The sequence below is a fragment of the Homo sapiens genome, chromosome 12 (genome assembly GCF_000001405.40).
Source record: "Homo sapiens chromosome 12, GRCh38.p14 Primary Assembly".
Lineage (NCBI taxonomy): Eukaryota > Metazoa > Chordata > Mammalia > Primates > Hominidae > Homo > Homo sapiens.
In genome coordinates this window covers 65,065,546-65,086,329 of record NC_000012.12, presented here as the reverse complement: position 1 = coordinate 65,086,329, position 20,784 = coordinate 65,065,546, and the positions used below count along the sequence as shown (strand labels likewise).

Here is a 20,784-nt window from a genome sequence, read left to right as displayed (position 1 = left end):
TTACTGTGAGGAGGAGGCACTTGTCCTGGAAGCTTGAGGGGAACAGAAGTTTTCAGAAGCCCCACTGCTGCCTACACCACCCTTTCCATTATAAATTTTGGCAAACCAGTGAAAGCAGTGTGCTGAACAGGGCTAAATTTGGTTTAAAGACTATATTTATACCAATACCTTTTTTTTTTCAATTTTTAGATGAGCTGAACAAAGTGTTTTCCATTTCCCAATGCTTTGCTTTTCTACTTTTCTGTCACCCCTTCCTCAAAAAATAAAAGTAAAAAACCTTAACTGTTGGTTTTATTTAATACAAAATAGCAATATAGCCCTCTGTTGCTTCTCTATCTTTAGACATCTTGAAAGAGAGTGACTAGCCAATGATTTGTCAGATAGCCAGGTCTGTTTCTGGTTTGCATGAACAGTGGTGATTCCAAACTCTAGGAGGAAAAAATGGAAAATGTCTTAGAAATTTCAGATTCATGTGAAGCCAAACTGTGATCTTCTGCCAGTTTTAATTTACAAAACTCTCATAGTCCTGGATGTGTTTATTTGAACTTCAAGTTTTAATATCACCATTATATTCCAATAACCTCACTCCCTCAGTCCAGCCCACTGGCTGTGATCTAGTCTAGTGTGTATAAAAACAATGACTAGAACAGAAGAAGTTGGCTAATTGAGATTTTCTCTTTAGGCAATGTTTCTTCTATCGCCTGTTTAAGCCATGATCAGTAAAATAAATAGCTACGCTGCATGAGAAGGTGCTTTCCCTTTTCCTTTTGAAACAAGTTCTTCTAAGAGCTAGTTTCAAAAGCAGGCAGGGAAAAATAGTCATTGTTGATATAGGTTGAGCATTCCTAATCCAAAATCTGAAATGCTCCAAAATCTGAAACTTTTAATGGCCAACATGACACCACAAGTGGAAAATTCCACACCTGACTTCATGTGACTAATTGCAAAATTATTTAAAATATTATATACAACTACCTTCAGCCTATAAGGTATATATGAAATATGGATGAATTTTGTGTTTAGACTTGGGTCCCATCCCCAAGATATCTTATTATATATATTCAAATATTCCAAAATTTGAAAAAAAATCTAAAATCCAAAACACTTCTGGTCCCAAGCATTTTGGATAAGGGATACTCAATCTGTGTTTCACAGTTTCGCAGTGATAGCACAATTACATCCTGTAATTTATAGAAGGCAAAGTGACTGGAACCCAAGAGGGAAATATAAACCAGAAGAGCCTTGGGCAAAGTCTTGTGTCAGAACAGGACCTCATTTACATTATCTCCTTTCATTCTTTCTGGGAGCCTCATTGCCAAAGGTTTGTGCCAGAACAAGCATAAAACAGTTATAAACTACACACAGATCGGGTAGATAACAAATGTCAGTGTTTGATTGTTCTTTTTTTCAAAAGTGCTCTGTATTCTCAATTGTGGGCTGCAATGACTGACCACACAGAAGAGTAAGAGAGAAGTTTTTGGCCCATAAAAGTAACTTAGCAATTGCCAAACAGAAAAGCTGCTGCCTGTCACTAGAATCAGAGGCTAATGCCATTTTACCACAACAATGTGTTCTGGAACGCACCGGGTTTACACTTCTGGATGCCTCTCAGTAGGTCATTCATTCACTTATTCAGCAGATATTTTTCAAATGCCTTGCTGTGCACAATGCTGAGTGAGTCTCCAGTAGACCATTGGAAAAAATATGTAGTCCCATTCTTAGCCACAGGAATCCAACATTTAGATGAGAATACAAGATATAAACATATGAAAAGTTAAATAATAATACATAGTGGTAGATGTTTAAGGGCCAAGCTGGTTTAAGTCCTATTGAAGGTCAGTAGAGGTTAAATCACTGGAATATAGGCATGGCTATGGTATCACCTCGGGCCAGTGAGCTCCAGAAGATGATGCCTGTTGGGGAGTAGTGAGAGATAAAAAGATAAAGGAACCAGGCTGTGGAGACACCTAACAGGCCGAAGGCCTTATCCCATCCATAAGCAGGGACAGGAAAGGATTGTAACATGGCAAAAGTGGTGGTTTCATTTGATGTATTGGCCACTTTTAAAGAGAAGGGCAAAAAGAATATTTCAAAGAATGTTATAAAAATGCCAATATGAGGAAATAAATGCTGGATTCAGGTGGAAGTGGTGAGGATGAAAGGAAGGTACAGAATCATAAGATATAAAAGAAGAAAGGATAAGATTTTGGTGTCTTTCTGTGGGGACATGAGATAGAGGTAAGAAACAGCAATAACCCTGAGCTTCAGTATCTTTGTTAATTGAAACAATAACAAGACCATTGGCAGCTAAAAAGAAATTAAGTGTGGCTAGGCACAGTGGCTCATGCCTGTAATTCCAGCTACTTGGAGGGGTGAGATGGGAGGATGGCTTGAGCCCAGGAGGTTGAGGCTACAGTGAGCCATGATCGTGCTACTGCATCCCAGCCTGGGCAAGAGTGAGGTGCAAATAAAAGAAAAGAAAAGAAAAGAAAAGAAAAGAGAAAAGAGGAGAGGAAAGGAAAGGAAAGGAAAGGAAAGGAAAGGAAAGGGAAAGGGAAAAGGAAAAGAGGAAAGGAAAGGAAAGAAAAGAAAAGAGAAATCAAGTGGGGGAAGCTGATTTTGGAAGATAATGAACCAGGCTCCATGCACATGAGCATGGGCATGACGCAGATGGCAAGAAGAGTCTGTGCTTTGGAAGAAGGATGTGAATGGTTCATGTTGAGCATTGCTGTCTACAGGGAAATGGTTCAATCTGTGAAAATACCTGAGCTTCATGACAATATAAAAAGAGTCTTAGTGATTTTATATGATTATGAGCTGAGAGTTAATGAGGAAATGCAGGAAAATCAAGAAGTGATATGAGAATCAGAAGAGTGTCACAGAGTCCAAAGATAATGAGCTTTGAGTTTGAAGGATGAAATTTTGCAGAGGTAACAAGAAGAATTCTGAGGAAGAATGTGAGATCTGGCAATTTTTGCTCTAGATATTCAGATTATTTTAATCATTGGGCATGCTTATTCGTTTTGTTTGGGTCTTTAACATTGAACTATTTTCCTTTCTTGCTTATTTTAGATTTTTTCTGGCCCTTCACTTACAGCGTACGATCTATTTTACATCTCTTTAGTACCTCTCATACCCAGTGAATCTGCTAATCTGAATTCACAGTGAATCTGCGAATCTGAATTCACTTGTATGCTGTAACAATAATAGGCTGTTGTGAGAATTAAATAAACAGTAACTGCAGTATAATAAACATTCAACAAAAATTATTTGAAAATTTTCAAACCTTACAGCTTTTGTGTGTTTTGTATCTATAAATGCCTGAAACCTTCTTTAGAACAAAGATGATAACTTTATTGTTTTAATGTTCTTCCATGAGCACTTAGGTCAGCATCATGATATATGGGTTAAAAGAGGTTTGAAGTCCTTGGTTTTCTGAAAGATCTTTGATTCTTAACTCAGAGGCTCCTACAATTATTGTGCTTATTAGATTAAGTACACACCATAAACACAGAACTTCAAAGGTAGAAGAGAAATACTGGATTCTCTTCATTCCTCTCAATAAGGGGTTAATGCAATTCTCTGCTTCCTTTCTCTATGTCTACCCTAAAAGGAGTGCCAGAACAAAGGCCTTATGAGTTGTCCCATTTTGCTGTTTAAATGATGTCTTCATCTCATCTGGAAGGAACAATCCTAATATTCAGCCAAGTCCATTGGAAGCAAGTTAAATGACCTCCAGCACTCCTCTCTTGATAATATTTGGGTGTCTTTTATGCTTCTCCATGAAAAGAAAATTTACTGCATGGCAAACCATGCCAGTGAATTATTCTCCTGAATAGACCCATTCTTTGTTTGAATACAAAGCAACCTTTTCATGTGTTTCCCAAATAATTACTCTGTTTGCCTTTACCTGAGTTTCCTCTAGTGTCATTTAATGGAACAAAATGTACTTTTTCCTAATAGAGGTTTTAGACTCTCCAGTATACCATTTCTCTATTACTGTTCATGCTCTGAGTTCCTTTTATCTAAATAATAAATCTACAATTTGTGGAAATTGTTCCCAAACTTTAAAGCTAGTTCTCTGTTCTCTTTGGCATAGAATTTAGATTTTATTTGCTCTCAAATAAGTTTTTCCAATGGGGAGATTTGGGTCTAAGAATATTTATTATAAATAAAGTAAAAACAGAAAGTCCTGTCTAGAAGTTAGAGTATGGCGTAAATATATTGTTCATCAGCCATTTCTTGTGGCTTTTAATTTAAGCCCTTAGGTTAAATGAAGGATATATTTACTCTGTAGTTCATAATACTATATTTGTGGAAATATTTTCACAGTATTGATGGTTTTAGATTTCTTTACAATGGCAAAGTAAAACTTTGAAAGAAGTTAGTGTCAACATCAGAGATAAAAGGTTAGTCAATTTCTAAATGGTTTTCAAGTTAAAATTTTTCTTTTTTCTTTTCTTTTTTTTTTATCTTAAAACTTCCCAGTGTGAAGTTAGAATTTTTAAAGAGGCAATGAAAACCACAGACAAAATCTTTTTTAAAGAAATGTACCAAGTATCCAGGAAATTACATGTTTCAGAGATTCATGCACCATTAGTTATCATCTTCAGCAAGAAAGAAAACGATTTACTCTGGTAACTGCCTTTTGCTGATAAGATCCAAGAAAGAAACCAGTTCCTGCCTTATGAACAGTCTTATTAGAATAAGACAAATGTTTACTGATTCTCAAAGAAATAAAAGGGACACTTTTGTGTAAAGTGTGTTATTGATTAGATCAGAGTATTGGGTGTCCAGAGAAATCTATTAAGCCTAGCTGCATCATGTGAAGCAGTCGTGCCACTGCTCATTATCAACTCTCTGATGCTAAGTATAACAGATTCCATGCTTCTCAGTCTACCTTCTGTGGTCATACCTGAAGGCTCTGTGAAGTTATGTTTCTGGCCTCCGAATGGAATTTTTTCAGTTCCATATTCTTTGAACATCATCAAAACTTTTTGGAAGAGGCGTTCAGAAGCTATTTTATGCAAATTGCTGCACTTTCAAGGAGACATGGAAGAGATTTAAATAAAATTGTTGTTTAAACACAGCCACGTTAAATAGATGTTCAAGAAGAATATTTTATCTATGATCAGAGAATTATGGAAAAAGAATCATCAGCCACGGAACTGAAAGGAGGGTACATGATTAATGCTTTTTAAAAAAAATACATAAATGCACTTATTTCATGAAAAGATATAAATTCACATATAGAAAATCTGAAAAAGAGAGAAAAGAAAAAAAATCACCATCAATTCTACACAATCATTGTTTTAATCTTGGTGTCTAGTTTTTCTTATTAACTAAAAGTTTATTTTTTAAATTAAATTATATTTGTTAAAATTATTGTAGTTTTACAAATGTAATTTTTAAATATATCACACATAGAAAGGTATATTTAATTTATAATGTGACAAAGCTCAAAGATATAATTATGGGGTAGCAAATGATAACTTATATGGTATTTGACCTTTTAATTTCAAAGTTTTTTGCATTCTATCCATTCATTTCTTTTCCATCATTATATGTACTGTTAAGTCTTTAGAATGTTTTGGCACATGGTGTGCATTACACCCAAGTTTATTGTGTGATTGTTGTTACTGTACTTAGTAATAGAAATAATTCAAATGTTATTCATTATAAGGGCATCTATCACTAAATCCTTTCATAGTGCCAAATAAAATACGTTTTAGAACAGTATGTTAAATGATACATATTATCTAGTAAAATGTAGAGGGAAGTGCAGGTGGTAGAAGTCATTTAAAACACCTGGATTCATGAAAACAAATCCACTTTTAATAGTCATTGGTTTTCCTGCAGGGACAGAAATACTGTTCTCTCTTTCAAAGGAATTCATTCCAAATTGAATTACCTTTCCTGACAACACTCCTTTCATCAGACTTCTTATAAACCTCTGCCTTCCCTTAAACAGGGTAAGAATTACCTGCCTTATGACCCTTTATTCTCAGGGCCATCCTAGTGAATCAATTTTATAAATTAACTTAAACAATGTTGTTACCCACCTAGGGAACTGTTCACAGTGGTCTTTTGGAAACTTGACCACAACTCACAGGAGGGGATGCAGTGGGAATTTGGTCCATGAAGGTTATCCTTTTGGCTTAGTGAAACCAGGAAGTGTTTCTCAATTAACTTCAAGTATGGACAAGTTCCCACAGCATCTGAGACTACCCCTTGGCATTATTATCCTCATGTGAAGTCCTTAATGCCTGCTGCATGTGATACTGTGATTTAAAGCAGCAAATTGTTTGAATGTCTACCATGTATCTCTTAATATCTTTCATGTTGTAAAATAAATTTTATATTGCTTGTAGGGTCATATTCTTTTGCAACCTCCTTCTAGCCCATGTTAATGTAATTTCTTTAATTAATAGATAGAATGCAAAAATTAATATAATTAATTACATTGAATTAATGTAGTTCTGGGTGTGGAACTGAATGGATAGAATGCAAAAAGTTAATTAATTAATTTAATTCATTACATTAAATTAATGTAATTCTGGATGTCTCTACAGGTAACTGCAGAACCACTCAACTTGCCTAACTCTCATGTTAGCATTGGTGCTATTTATTGATTGTTCTTTATTTCTAAGCAAGAACATATTGTTACCATCACAACTCTCCTTCCGCTTTTTTTTTTTTTTTTTGAGACAGAGTCTCACTCTGTCACCCAGTCTGGAGTGCAGTGGCATGTTCTCAGCTCATGACAACCTCTGCCTCCCAGGTTCAAGCTGGAAGCTGATAACTGAGGGAGGAGACTTATGAAAACAATATTGATGATAATAATAACAATCTCCAATGCTTATAAATTTCTGTAATGTTGGCATTATTTCTTCCTTAATGTTTGTGAGAATTCACCAGGGAAGCCATTTGACCCTGGAATTTTTTTTGTGGGAGGGTTTTACAATTTTGAATATAATTTCCTTAACAGACATAAGGCTATTCAAACTTTCTATTTCTTGTCAGATTTGTTCATTTGTGTTTCTCAAGGAGTTCATTTTATCAAAGTCATTGAATTTATTGGTGTAACATTGATCCCTTTTCTTGCTTAAATGTCTATAGCATCTCTAGTAATGCCTCTCTTTCACTTTTTTTTTTTTTTTTTTTTGAGATGGAGTCTTGCTCTGTTGCCCAGGCTGGAGTGCAATGGTGCTATCTTGGCTCACTGCAGCCTCCACCTCCTGGGTTCAAGCAATTCTCCTGCCTCAGCCTCCCAAGTAGCTGGGACTACAAGCACCCACGACCATGCCCAGCTAAGTTTTGTATTTTTAGTAGAGACGGGGTTTCGCCATGTTGGCCAGACTGGTCTCGAACTCCTAACCTCAAGTGATCCGCCCACCTCAGCCTCCCAAAGTGCTGGGATTACAGGTGTGAGCCACCGTGCCTGGCCTTCACAAACCCTTTTAATAATCCAGTGGGAATCCATTAAGCATTAAAGCTCTATAGTGAGATTATGCATCATTACTTTCAGTATTCATGGCCATTTGAGTAGCAGGAATCATTTTCTCAACTAGACTTAGTGGGTAAATGAAAGTGTTCACAATGTAAAGGTTTATGGCTTGTTGTCTTATTGTGATGGTGGTTTTTGCATCTTTTGGCTTTTCTCTCCACAATTAAATCGAGACATTAAATATAAACCTTTCAAAGGGAATGAGAGTAAAAAATAAATGTTAACAGCAAGATCATGGAATTTGGGACTTCATTACAACTCTCCAAATTCTGATCAAAAGACTCACTTCAGAATTTAGAATTAGGAGTATTAAAGAATGATTAAAATAGCTGAGATGGATTCTAGTCAATGACTGGTTTGACATCACCTATTTCCCTAAGAGAATTTTTTTTCTCAATCTTTTAAAAAGACAGCAATTAATATCATTTAAGTTAAAAAATTACTGGGCAGGCATAGTAGCTAAAGCCTGTAATCCCAGCACTTTGGGAGGCCAAGGCAGGCAGATGACTTGAGGTCAGAAGTTCGAGACAGACCCCGGCAACATGGTGAAACCCTGTCTCTACTAAAAATACAAAAATTAGCAGGGCGTGGTGGTACATGCCTGTAATCCCAGCTACTCAGGAGGCTGAGGCAGGAGAATTGCTTGAACCTGGGAGGCAGAGGTTGCAGTGAGCTGAGATTGCGCCACTGCACTCCAGCCTGGGCAACAGAGCAAGACTCTGTCTCAAAAAACAAACAAACAAAAACAGATTAACTATTGTGGCTGTTTTTAATGTTTTTAGGGATCACTTCTCTCCAGAGTCTAACACAGAAGGGTGAGTTGTGCCTACCCAGTATCTTGGATGCTGTGTGCTCCAGAGTTCCTGTAATGAAAATTATCTCTGCCCCATCAGATGGACGATGAATTCTGTGGTGCCTTCTCCCTCTCTGGTTTCCATGTTACTAACTGTCAGTGCCTTTGGTTGTAGGCAGAATACTTCTATGAATTCCTGTCCTTGCGCTCCCTGGATAAAGGCATCATGGCAGATCCAACCGTCAATGTCCCTCTGCTGGGAACAGTGCCTCACAAGGCATCAGGTGGGTGGTCTTTGCCTGAAGAAAGGTTTACACTTAAAATGTAATGATGATAAGAATATTTAAGATGCAAATGTCCTACATCAGAGAGGTTATGAAATGTTTTCCTGAAGACATCTGTTGATTTTAGGACAGTTTGACTGTTATTCTTTGGGCAAAGGATTAAGATGGGAGTGAAGAAATGATGGTTATATAATTTTCTAAAGATTCAGAATAGCCCCAGCCCAGCCCACACTAAGTTCATAAATGATTCCAGACTTTTTTAAAGAAAAAAAAGGAGAAAGAAACACATCTGGTGAGATATATTTGGCCAATGTATGGATTAATGAGATACACAAAAATGTGGCAAAGATACAAAGTAAGTGATTGGGGGCAAATGGGATAAGTCAAGAAAATTCCCCAAAAGTTAGCATTGTATTAAATTAGAATTTGAAGGAGAGAAGAGACATGGAAAAGTGGGAGAAAGGGGTTCAACGTTTCTAGTCTAATCATCCTTCTTTGCTAAGAAAATAATAGTATGTGATATTTGTTTAAAGCTTTTCAGCTTACAACAGACTCACTCTTGCGTTATCTAATTTGAATACTAGTAGCGAGTCAAATCCAGAATTGCAGCTCATTTTCTAAATTAAAAAATTAAGACTTAGGAGATTTGACTGACTTGCCCAAAGTCAAATATTAGGATAGTAATAAGCAGTAGAGTTGAGACTAGAGCCCGGGATTTCTGACTTTTAGAAATATACAGAGATCACTTGTGTTATCATCCTAATGTATTTCCTTCTCATCTTTTTTCTCTGAATTTTTACATATTTGTGATAATATATATTTGGTTTTGCGTCATGATTTTTTTTTTTTGCTTTTAACCTTTTAACATAACCATTTCCTATGTCATTATGGATTTTTTCAAAAGTTGTTTTTAATGCTCTTACAATATTCTATTTTATGGATATACCATAATTTGTATACACATTCCCTTATTTGTTAATTATGTTGTTTTTAGAGTTTGACTATAGCAATATCACAATATTTTTTTAAACTAATGGATGGTAACTTCCATGCACATAGGAGCCCTATTTTTTTGTTCACTGTGGCTCCACCCCAGGGCCCAGCACAGAACAGGTATTCAGAAAGTAATTGTTGGATTAATGTGCGTACCAAAATCTTGGTGCTTATCTCATTATTTTGTTAAAATCGATTCCTAAAAGTTGAATTATTGTGTCAAATGATAGGAACTATGAGCTTCTTAAAGACTCTTAAAACAAATTGCCAAAATGCCAAATTACTTTCTGTAAAGGTTATCATACCCATTTTTACCCTGGTTAAGCAATAGGGAGAATGCTTGGCTTACTGTAATCCCATCAACATAGGTTATTAATCACATTAACTACTTTAGTGGCTTAAATAGTGAAAAGTCAGGCCAGGTGTGGTGACTCATACCTATAATCTCTACATTTTGGGGGGCCGAGGGGGGAGGATTCCTTGTGCCCAGGAGTTCAAGACCGGCCTGGGCAACATAGCGAGACTGTCTCTACAAAAAATTAAAAAAATTAGCCAGGTGTGATGGCACATACCCATAGTCCCAGATGCTCAGGAGGCTGAGGCAGGAGGGTTGTTTGAGCTGGGGAGGTGGAGGCTGCAGTGAGCTATGATTGCACCACTGCACTCCAGCCAGGGCAACAGAGCAAAAAAGAAAAAAGTCAGTCTCAAAAAAGATAAAAGAAAGAAAAAGTAAAAAGTCATTTGTCACAGTCTTCTTTTGGTATTTTTTATTCCTATTAAGGTAGAAAATATTTTCTTGTATCTATTAGACCATGAAAAATGTGTACCATGCTCATTTTTATATTGAGATAATAGTGTTCTTCCTACTGATCTGCAAAGCTTGTTGTATATTAGGTATATTCACCACTTATTGCATTTTTTTCAATTTAACATTTATACTTTATTTTGGGGGAGAATATGCAGAGGCTTTAAAATCCTATGTGGTCAAACCTATCTTTTCCTTTGCAATTTTTTCCACTGCATTTATGTTTTGATACTAATTCCTATTCCAGAGAGCAGTTAAGTTATAACTTTCATATGCATCTAGCATTTTATAAAAATTTATTTTTGGAATATTATGAAATAAGGCTCTAACCTGAATTATTTTTGAGTCATTAACTTTTCTTACATGAGAAGTTGAATTGATTCAAGATATGCTATTTATTTCACATTAAGTTTTTCTATACATAGGGTGTGTTTAGAGATTACTCTTTATTTTACTATTGTGATAGTGGTAGCTTTATAGTGTTTTAAAGTCATCGATGGCATACTCTCTCTTTTTAAAAAAAATTTAGTCTTATTCTTCTAGAGGAACGTGAAAATAAATTTTGTCAGATGTCAAGTAAAAATCCCCTTCGGAGCTAATTTAAGTCTCTAAAGTAATCAGGAGATCAGATACTTTTACAAAGGGCATTTTCAGATTACGGTTATCTACCACTTCCAGTGGATCTGCCTTGTTGCATTCCAGTGCCATAAGAGTGGGAGACTAAATAAACACAGAGTTTCTCTAATTTCCCGACCTAAGTGTCATCGTGGGTGTAGACAGGAGAAGTATAAGTTCAGTTTCTCTTTGATCATCACAGTGCTGCAGGTGTAACCAACAGCACCCCTAGAGGATCTGTTTCTGACTTAGACGTGTTTGGGTTCTGGGTGAAGATTTATTCACCTGAGATGTGTAGCCCCAAGGACGTGAGTATCTATTCTAGAGATGTGGATACGCTGATTCCACTCAGATGGCATTGGTAGGGCTTTATTACCTTGTGGAGAAGAGAAAGACACTCCAGCCACCAAATTCTTGGAATATGGTCATCACTCAATCTCATGCCCTGTCACATAGTGTTCTTTTTAGTTGAAAATAATTTTCTTTTTCTTTTCTTTTTTTTTTTTTTTTTTTTTGAGACAGAGTGTCCCTCTGTTACCCAGGCTTGAGTGCAGTGGTGCGGGTCTCAACTCACCGCAACCTCCACCTCCTGAGTTAAAGTGATTCTTCACCTCAGCCTCCTGAGTAGCTGGGATTATAGGAGCATGCCACCATGCCTGGCTGATTTTTGTATTTTTAGTAGACATGCAGTTTCACCATGTTGGCCAGGCAGGTCTCGAACTCCTGACCTCAAGTGATCTGCCTGCCTCGGCCTCCCAAAGTGTTGGGATTACAGGCATGAGCCAGCACCTGGCTAAAGATAATTTTCTATAAAATTCTCCTTGATCATATTTTTTGCTCTTTTTGTTTTGTTTTGTTTTGGAAGCAGTCAGAATAAAATAAGTACATAACACCTCTCAATTTCTATTTTATATTTTTCTTTTTTTCTGATTAATAAAGGAATATAAGCTCATCATAGTCCATTAAAAATACATTAATTAATTACCAGTTATACTTACCTGCTCAGCTTCTGGTAAATCTTGCGTCTTTGAATTTCTAATTTAATGCTTGTATCCTAAGTGCTTTTTTCACTTTTTGTGTCTAGTTAAAAAACTAACCTGCATAATGTGCACATGTACCCTAAAACTTAAAGTATAATAAAAAAAATAAAAAAATAAAAAATAAAAATCTTACTGAAATTCTACTGCTTAGGAAATTGACAAATAAGATTTTGAACATATGATGTGAGGATATTTTAATAGATCATGTTTAGATAGAACATCATTTTCTAATAATTTACGTTCTTTATAAATAATAAACGTAGAGGAAAAAGTGGGTGACACTTTGGTCAACCTGAAACTAAAAACAACAAGCCTTCTTTGGGAACCAGGTGATATGAACACATATGCCCATGTGTGCACACAGACTCGCACACACACACATCCTTTGCATATACAACTCCCTCACCCCACCCCACACACACATAGTCTTTTTGAAGCAGATGTAGAATTTGTTTGTAGAAATGCAGGTGCAAGAAGTTTATGGGAACCTTACACCATTGCAGAGCAGCTACTCATTAGCCTCATTAGCTCAGTCCCTCAGTAGGAGAAGTGAAGGTACCTTGCATTATTAAAAAGTAACCAAATCAGTGTGTCTTTGCTCTTAAGCATCCAGGTAGCATTCATTATTCTACAAGGCTATTTTATACCCCCAAGCTGCTAAACTGTTCTTTTATCCTACAGACTCCTATATGCCTAAATATTGCATGAAGAAAGAAAACTCCTCTTGATCTTTAACAGTTATGAAGTGCCTGCCTTCTGGCATCAGAAGAGAACAAAAACAGGAAATACAAACTGCAGGGTGGTTCAATAAAATTACTGAGTTGTATAACAAAAAACAGTTTCATGAAGCCAAGACTTTGCCTCTTTGAACACTCTCTTTTTCTGACCATGAAACCAACAGAGCAGTGGTGTTTCTCAACTAGGACTTTTAGGAATCCAATGTCTACACTGTTAAATAGGTGCTTATGCTGGAGAGACCATCTTCTTATAGGTGACCTCAGTTCTTAGCAGAATGTGAAGCCCAGAGTTTGTGCTAAGTATTTGGTAAGAGAATGAATGGCTGGCAGGGCAGCTTAAAGGACTGATGAATATTTATGTTGGATATTTCTAGTGATGTAGCAGTTCATGATCATGTGGTGTGGAGGATGGGCTCTTGCCTGCCTTTCTCATCTCTTGCCTTGTTGTAAGGACAGGGACTCAACTGACTGGAGGCTGAGGCTATCTGAGCACCATGCCCATCTGTGTGTGGGAGCAGTATGCAATCAGAACAAATTTGCTGCTTTCTTCTGTAGAAGAGTTAGTTGATGTGCAATCAATTGCATATCAGTCTGTACTTCAATGCTGTGAGTTATATTCGATCTGCTTTAGTTTTTCTGAGTTGTTTTAATTCACCTCGTTTAGATTATACATCCTATTCTGCACTGGAATTCATATCTGGCCTAACTTCATCTAGCGTTTGGGAACAATGGCTCTTTACTCATATTCCTATTGTTGCAAAAATACATGACTTTCACATTCCTCTTATTCCTTGGAAGCAAAGAGTCTCTGCTTTTTCTGCCTTTGATGTCTCTTTTTCTTGGTGCATCTGTTTTTCTGAGTGCATGTTGCTAGTATTTTATTCTCTACATCTCCTACTGTCTATGGTGAATTTCTGTCTCTGTGTATATGTGCAGGTATGTGCATGTGTGGAAGTGCAAGTGTGTGCCTGTGCACACAAGGTATATGGTTGTGTCTACCATAACATATATCACATCTGTTGGTACCTAGTTTGTGACAGACAATATGCTAAATGCTGAGATTACAAAAACAAGATATAGTTCTTGCCTTTGAGAATTCTCATCCTTAACAAAGGATGCAAACCATAATTAAATCACTACACCACAATGAAATAATATATATAGGTGTTTGTAAAATATATAAATGTAATTATATAGGCAAGGGGTGTTAGGAAAGGCTAAAGAAAGCAAGTACTATTTAATTTTGGCCTTGAAAGTTGAGTGGGAGGACAGTAGGACAGAAAACACAAGAAAGAACATTCCAAGCACCTGGGTGTGCAGTAAGGAAATTGTGGATGTGCACCACACATTTGGGGAACTGAGAGAAATAGTTTGCGCAGAGCACAGAGTTGACAAAAGGCAATTACTGGAGATGCAGCTAACTAAAGTCAGATTTTGTTTTTTTAAAGCAAAATTCTTTGAAAACTTTTAAAAGGTGTTTAATTATAAATATTATTACCTAAATGGTCTTATAGATAAAGTTTATATAAACAGAAACGAAGACAAGTAGGGTTTGCACAAGAGGAAATAAAATTTTTACTTTGTGTTTTAAAATTGAAGAGTGGGAAAGTGTAATGGTATGGTTTATCACATCTTTCTGTAATTCTTCTTTTACATTAAAAATTAATTGTTGATCTGGCTCAAGATGTCCTCAGTGAAAAAAATAATAATTCATTGAAATTATAAGCTAGGTACCTCCTAATTTCTAAACTTTATTTCCTAGTTCTTTACAAATCATTCTGCAGTAGGGTTCAGGTCATAACTGTGCTTACATGCCTTCTATTTCCAAAGAGGTAGAAATGTGCAGGTAAAACTTATATACCTGGGCTGATGGGATTTTTAATGTGTTCATTTTTAACTTGAAGCTGAATTTAAGGGCTAGAGTTATTATGCACAAATAAAATTAGCAAAAATTGCAAGCCTAGAGTATATTAGGTCTTTAAAAACTATAAGAAGGAAAATATTTCATATCAGTTATAACAGTAATTGAATATAACTTTAGTAAAATAATTTTTAGGGATATCATTTCTTTTGGTTTACTAAGAAAATGAAGATACTACATCTTTAGTTATCTGCCAAAATTGCTTACAGTTTTTCTATTTTAAAACTTTCATTAGATTTTGCAACCTCGCTTTTGTTCCCTGCAATGGTGGAAAGCCGTATCTTCTAGCATCACCACAGGCCTAGGAACTCTGTGAACATGTCCTTACTTTAATTGACTTAAAGATTATATTAGCAAACCACACACTTTTCTTTCTTTCCTTTTTTTTTTTTTTTTTTTTTTTGATGGAGTCTTGCTCTGTTGCCCAGGCTGGACTGCAGTGGCTCTATCTTGGCTCACTGCAACCTCTGTCTTCTGAGTTCAAGTGATTCTCATGCCTCAGCCTCCCAGGTAGCTGGGATTATGGATATATGCCAACACACCGGCTAATTTTTTTGCTTTTAGTAGACACGGGTTTCACCATGTTGGCCAGGCTGGTCTCCAACTCCTGATCTCAAGTGATGCACCCGCCTCGGCCTCCCAAAGTGCTGGGATTACAGGAGTGAGCCTGTGATTTGTAAATGGTCTTTCAGCACATCTGAAGATGTGGAAGAACTAATAATTGTTCTTAACTAAATTTCCTACAAACTTAATAAGACAGTTTTTGATATTTAACATCCAAGATACATTTTGAAATTTGATAATGCTGGCAAGCAGAAATGAAGATGAGTTTACTGATAGGCATCTTCTCTTCCATACCAAGATTCTGGAAGCCAAAATAAAACTGAAGGGCCTTTTTAAAAGAATCAGGTGGGCTGCAAAGGAGAGGCTGAATGTGGTTCAGAAAAAAGATACACCTGGAAAATAAGTTTGGATGATGGCGTCCAGTGAGGAAGATTCTGAAAGTTCTATCTTTAAGTATCCGTTCAAGTTTTTCCATCTTTTTATGCCTCAAAGCAATTATTGGCCTACCTGTCCATGTAAAAGAGTCATAAGAAGAGTAAAGTTTTATAATTGAACAAAGTATAAGTACAAAAAATTTAAAGAAATTACTTGTCAATTCCTTTGCTTCTTTCTGAAATAGAAATCTCCATTCATAAATGTTTTGTAAATTGGCATTTTTATATATGAGATTTCATTAAGCCAAGGTTTTCAATAGGGACAATTTTACTTTAGAACTTTAGACACAATTTTGTTTTTTCTTTTTATTTCTGTTAAAATATCTGTGTTTCCTTTTCATCATAATGATTTGCAATGTTAAAATCTCAAGTTTCAGGGGAGCTAGAAATGGAAGTCCATGTAATTTTGAGTATGGCATAGCAATGAACACTGACAATGCCAGAGCTGTAAGAGGAGTTTTGGGTTGCCAAAAGCACATTGAGAAATTGTATGACCAGCTTGTGTGCAATGCTTTACAGAAAAGGGCAGTCCAGTTTCCAGCTCATTTATTCCTATAAACCTAGGGAGAAAGTTTATCGACACTCTAAAAGGAAAAGATTTGTCTTAGCTTGATACAGTTTGCACAAGCTTGGCAGAAACCATAACTTGCCATGCAGAAATAAAATGAAGCAAAAAATCACATGTATACCCATTAGCAATATTTCTTTATATTCACAAGAAAGAACAAGAGTCTGGTGGATCTGCTATATCAGTCTTACCCAGTGGATATGTTATAATAACCCATTGGGTGTTGGAAATATACATAATCAGCTTCTCAGCAAATGATCACATCTGATTTGCCCCATTTTCACCCAGTGATTTGTGGTTATCCCACAACGGGTGTCCTCCTTCCCTCTTTGTACAGCAATGTCTTCAGTTCCCAATCCCTGCTTTGTGACTTCATTGTCAACACTTGCACAGGCTGAGTAATCATTAGACTCACAAGAAAGAGAAGCTTCTCTTTAAGAACATAAACCATTAGATATAACCCTATTCATGAGATTATTTCATCACATCAAACTCTCTTCTAGATGCCTGAGATATGGACACTTCTTATTAACAAACAGCCTGAGAAAATATTAACTTCATTAACTCGGTCCAATGACTGAACTCTAGTCTGAGTCGTAAAATATTTTCAAAGAAGATATTTTGTCACTTTCACATACACATAGTAAACATAAACCAGTGGGGTATTGCTCATCAGACTTTATTTAAGGGATTATGAAATGCTGATTTCTAGCCCTTTTTGGATTATATGGAGGCTGATGAAGATGCCACAAAGTTTCTTCCCCGAATCAACTGCTTTTTATTTATTTTCGTTTGTCTTTCTGTTCTTCCCATGCTACACTGACGTATACATAATTAACCACTTTATGATTCTTCTTTCCATCTTTAATTTCCAGGGAAAATATTTAAGATAGTACAAGTCCAGACTGTGAACAGAATATCACCAATTCCATATTAATGAGGTAAAAATTGGAGTCATTCACTCTTTCTTCACCTGACATGATGCTCAACTTCTGTGGAGCCCAGATGCTCAAAATACAGTTCCTACTCCAGTGGAGATACAAGGAAATCCACAACATGTGAACATTTTTGCTTTGTCCTTTGACTCTTGGTTCCCAAGATTTCTGTAAAACTAGAATCAACTAGATTAACTATTTCTCCACACTTTCTCTTTTTTTCTTTTAGTTGTTCAAGTTGGTTTCCCATGTCTTGGAAAACAGGATGGGGTGGCAGCATTTGAAGTGGATGTGATTGTTATGAATTCTGAAGGCAACACCATTCTCCAAACACCTCAAAATGCTATCTTCTTTAAAACATGTCAACAAGGTAAGCACCGATGGTGATTCAAGAGAAGACATGTTGTAAGGGCTTAGGTGTGATTTGGACCAAATATTTATATCTATACACACACACACACACACACACACACACACACACACATGGTTTTTTGGATGATGGCTCTATAACTACAGCAACGGAAGGAGGAGATGATCAGCACAGGATTTAGCAACAGTACTAAGATAGACTTCCTCTGACCTTGACCCCACTTTTAATATTAGGAATAGGAAACGTTTCAAAACACCTTTTCTTCCTCCCTCTCCACTCCTCCAACACAGTTGTTGGGAGTCCCAGTGTATCTCACCCGTGGTCATGAATTTCCCCCTTTCTTGCTCTGTTTGCTCAAGGCAAGGTGGCTCATAATTACCAGCACTTCCCACTTGTCCCAAAGGCAACACTAATATAACCTCTAATGAATATCCACGGAGGACAGACTGCCACCTCATGCCAGTGATCCCTACCAGGTCAAGGCCTCACTCAATACCTCCCCACCACACCCCAGATGCCCATTTAACTATAAAGGCCTGGCTCCTTTCACATCCCTATACAAGCTTTTCTAGCTCAGAATTTAAGCTCTGGAGCATTTCAGTGCTCTAAAGATGTACCCATAAGTCATCTTACCCTCTGAAAGGGGAAAGGCAATACCATTCATTCAATTGCAGTGGGAATTTAACAAGGTACAGTAGATCCATAGGAGGAGATGAAGGCAGAATAAAATTTGCCTTACCTTCTTCCAAGAGCCCCCTACTGTTGGAAATAAGGGAGGCAAAATCTTACTCTGCAGCAGATTTAGTGAAATCCAAGTGATATCGAGGGAATGAGTTGGAAGTACTGGTATTTGATCAATTATGATTAATTGGTGGGCTAGAACAGAAATGAACACTACTGTCTCACACTGGCTGTGATTCACCCAACATGATTTCAAGGGTGTCCATATAAGCTTTGTTTCTCTCTGCTGAAGCTGAGTGCCCAGGCGGGTGCCGAAATGGAGGCTTTTGTAATGAAAGACGCATCTGCGAGTGTCCTGATGGGTTCCACGGACCTCACTGTGAGAAAGGTAAGACATGGAGCCGATTTCCCTTGCTCCCTTCCTAATGAACATGGATGTCGTGCAGGAGCCCCATGTGTATTGTGTATTTTTAACACCTGAAATTATTTTCCTGGTCACAGGGGCAGAAAATTTTGGCACAATGCCATCACTTTCTGTGGCCATTCCTGGCCATCTCCCCCAACTCATCCCGCTTCAGAAATATAGCCACTGTACTTTGGCATAATCTTATGAAAATTTTGAGGTTTTTTTCCTCCTCTTAAGTTGGATTTAAAAAGCTAGTATCACCACTGATCTGAAATTGTTCCAGTTGAAAGTAGCTTGATTCACAACTAAGAGTATATCTAAGTTATGAAGTTATGATAAGGCAAAAAAGTGGATGAATTTGTGTAGTAAGTACATCAATTTCAGGGAAATTAATTTTTAAAAATAAATGAAAAAAGACATAAGCAAGGAAATGAATATTAATCATAAGATGTTTAAATACTAAGAGCTTATCTGACTACAGTAAGCAAAATATTTTTCATCTTCAAGAAATAAGAATATCCTGTGAGAGACAGTTAAAAAATAATTTTAAAATAAGTAAGAAAGAATAATATTTTCTTATTTTTCTTCTTTGCATTTATGTTGGAATTAGAAGATTAAGCAAATGGGGCAAAGTGAAAATATTTAACAGTTTTAAGAAGACCACATCTTAGTCAAAATGATTCTGGGGAAAATTTATTCAAGTATTCAAATGGAACCAATCCAAAAGTCATCTCTAAGAAATTGGCTGAGAAATTGAAAAACAGCCTAATTTATACCACAAAAATAATATTAATATAGCAAACTTGTATCTCTGAAGAGTAATCATTTTAGAGTCAACCACAAAGCTTGAAAATGTAGACCTGTTGTATTATTGACATTTCAAAATGGTCCTGCTCCAAAATACCATTTGGCCTTAATCAGGGTTCTCTCTCCCTATAAGCCCTTTGTACCCCACGATGTATGAATGGTGGACTTTGTGTGACTCCTGGTTTCTGCATCTGCCCACCTGGATTCTATGGAGTGAACTGTGACAAAGGTAACAGTTTCTTTTTAAGAAGAAAGTTATTTTTACTTTTAAAATGTTTGATTAGAATAAGTTACTTTATATGTCCTCACTCTTCATAACAGCTCTGAGAATGTATGGCTTAGGGTAAAGATGGCTGCTATAGTAACTGAAATCCCAATTTTAGTGTAGCATAATAGCAAAAGTTTATTTTCATTCACAGAATGCTCCAGTGCATTTTGCCTGGTCAGTGGGCAGGGCAGCTCTTCTCCATGCAGTGACTCAGGAGCCCAGGCACCATCTATCTGTGGTCCTGCCTAGAGCTTTGGAACTCTCTAGATCCAGCCAATAGGCAGAGAAGGATTGAAGTAAGCACTGCTAAAAATAAATTAATTAATTAAAAAATTTAAAAGCCCTGGCCCAGAATTTACCCACAAAACTTCCACACCTATTCCATAGGTAGGAATTAGCCTCATGGTCCTACCTGGTTTCAGGCAGAAGAAATGTTGCCCCTGGCTGGACAGTGGTCTCCCACTGACATCTCATATTACATAACGGGAGTGCAAATTTTTGTGAACAATTAGCTGGTCTTGCCACATGGAATTTTAGTATGTCCTAAATTGGTTTTGTGGGTGAGCTTCTAAGGCTAAAATTAAACAACCTGCTCTACATTGCCTAACCTAGAAGTTTACTGACTCCCGATTCAATACTCTGCTCACAAATCACATCCCAGAGAGATTAGGTTCTTCCTTCTTAACATTGCAGCAACACAGCCAGATTTTACTCTTAGTAAGTGAATTCAAACTTGGCCCTAAAATTGCTGAACGATTCATACTCTTTACAAGAGACTTGTTTATTTTGCCCAGTTCACATCTTTTAAGTGGAAAAAAATAAAGACTATGCTGTGAAATTTGTATATTTAATGAAGTTATCTTTGTGTTAAAAATGCTAATTGTATGAATAGAGCATTTTTTGTCAATAAACATATGAGTTAAGATAGAATAATAAATTTTATTCTTTAAAAGTGTCTCTTTAGTGATCACTCAGTTAGTACCAAGTAAGATTGCCATGAGCAGTTTTTTGTTGTTGTTGTTGTTTTTTAAAGGAAAGCTAAAGGAAAGAGCCTTC

At 36.5% G+C, this 20,784-nt stretch overlaps 1 protein-coding gene across 1 annotated transcript in view; it reads left to right on the top strand.

Annotated features, from left to right (window-relative positions):
• The window catches only part of WIF1 (Wnt inhibitory factor 1), a 70,680-nt gene that overhangs the window by 34,976 nt on the left and 14,920 nt on the right, over nt 1-20,784 (top strand). The window contains exons 3-6 of the mRNA NM_007191.5: nt 8,476-8,584; nt 17,426-17,566; nt 18,540-18,635; nt 19,594-19,689. Of these exons, the coding sequence (NP_009122.2) occupies nt 8,476-8,584; nt 17,426-17,566; nt 18,540-18,635; nt 19,594-19,689 (442 nt within the window). The remainder of the gene's footprint in view (nt 1-8,475; nt 8,585-17,425; nt 17,567-18,539; nt 18,636-19,593; nt 19,690-20,784) is intronic.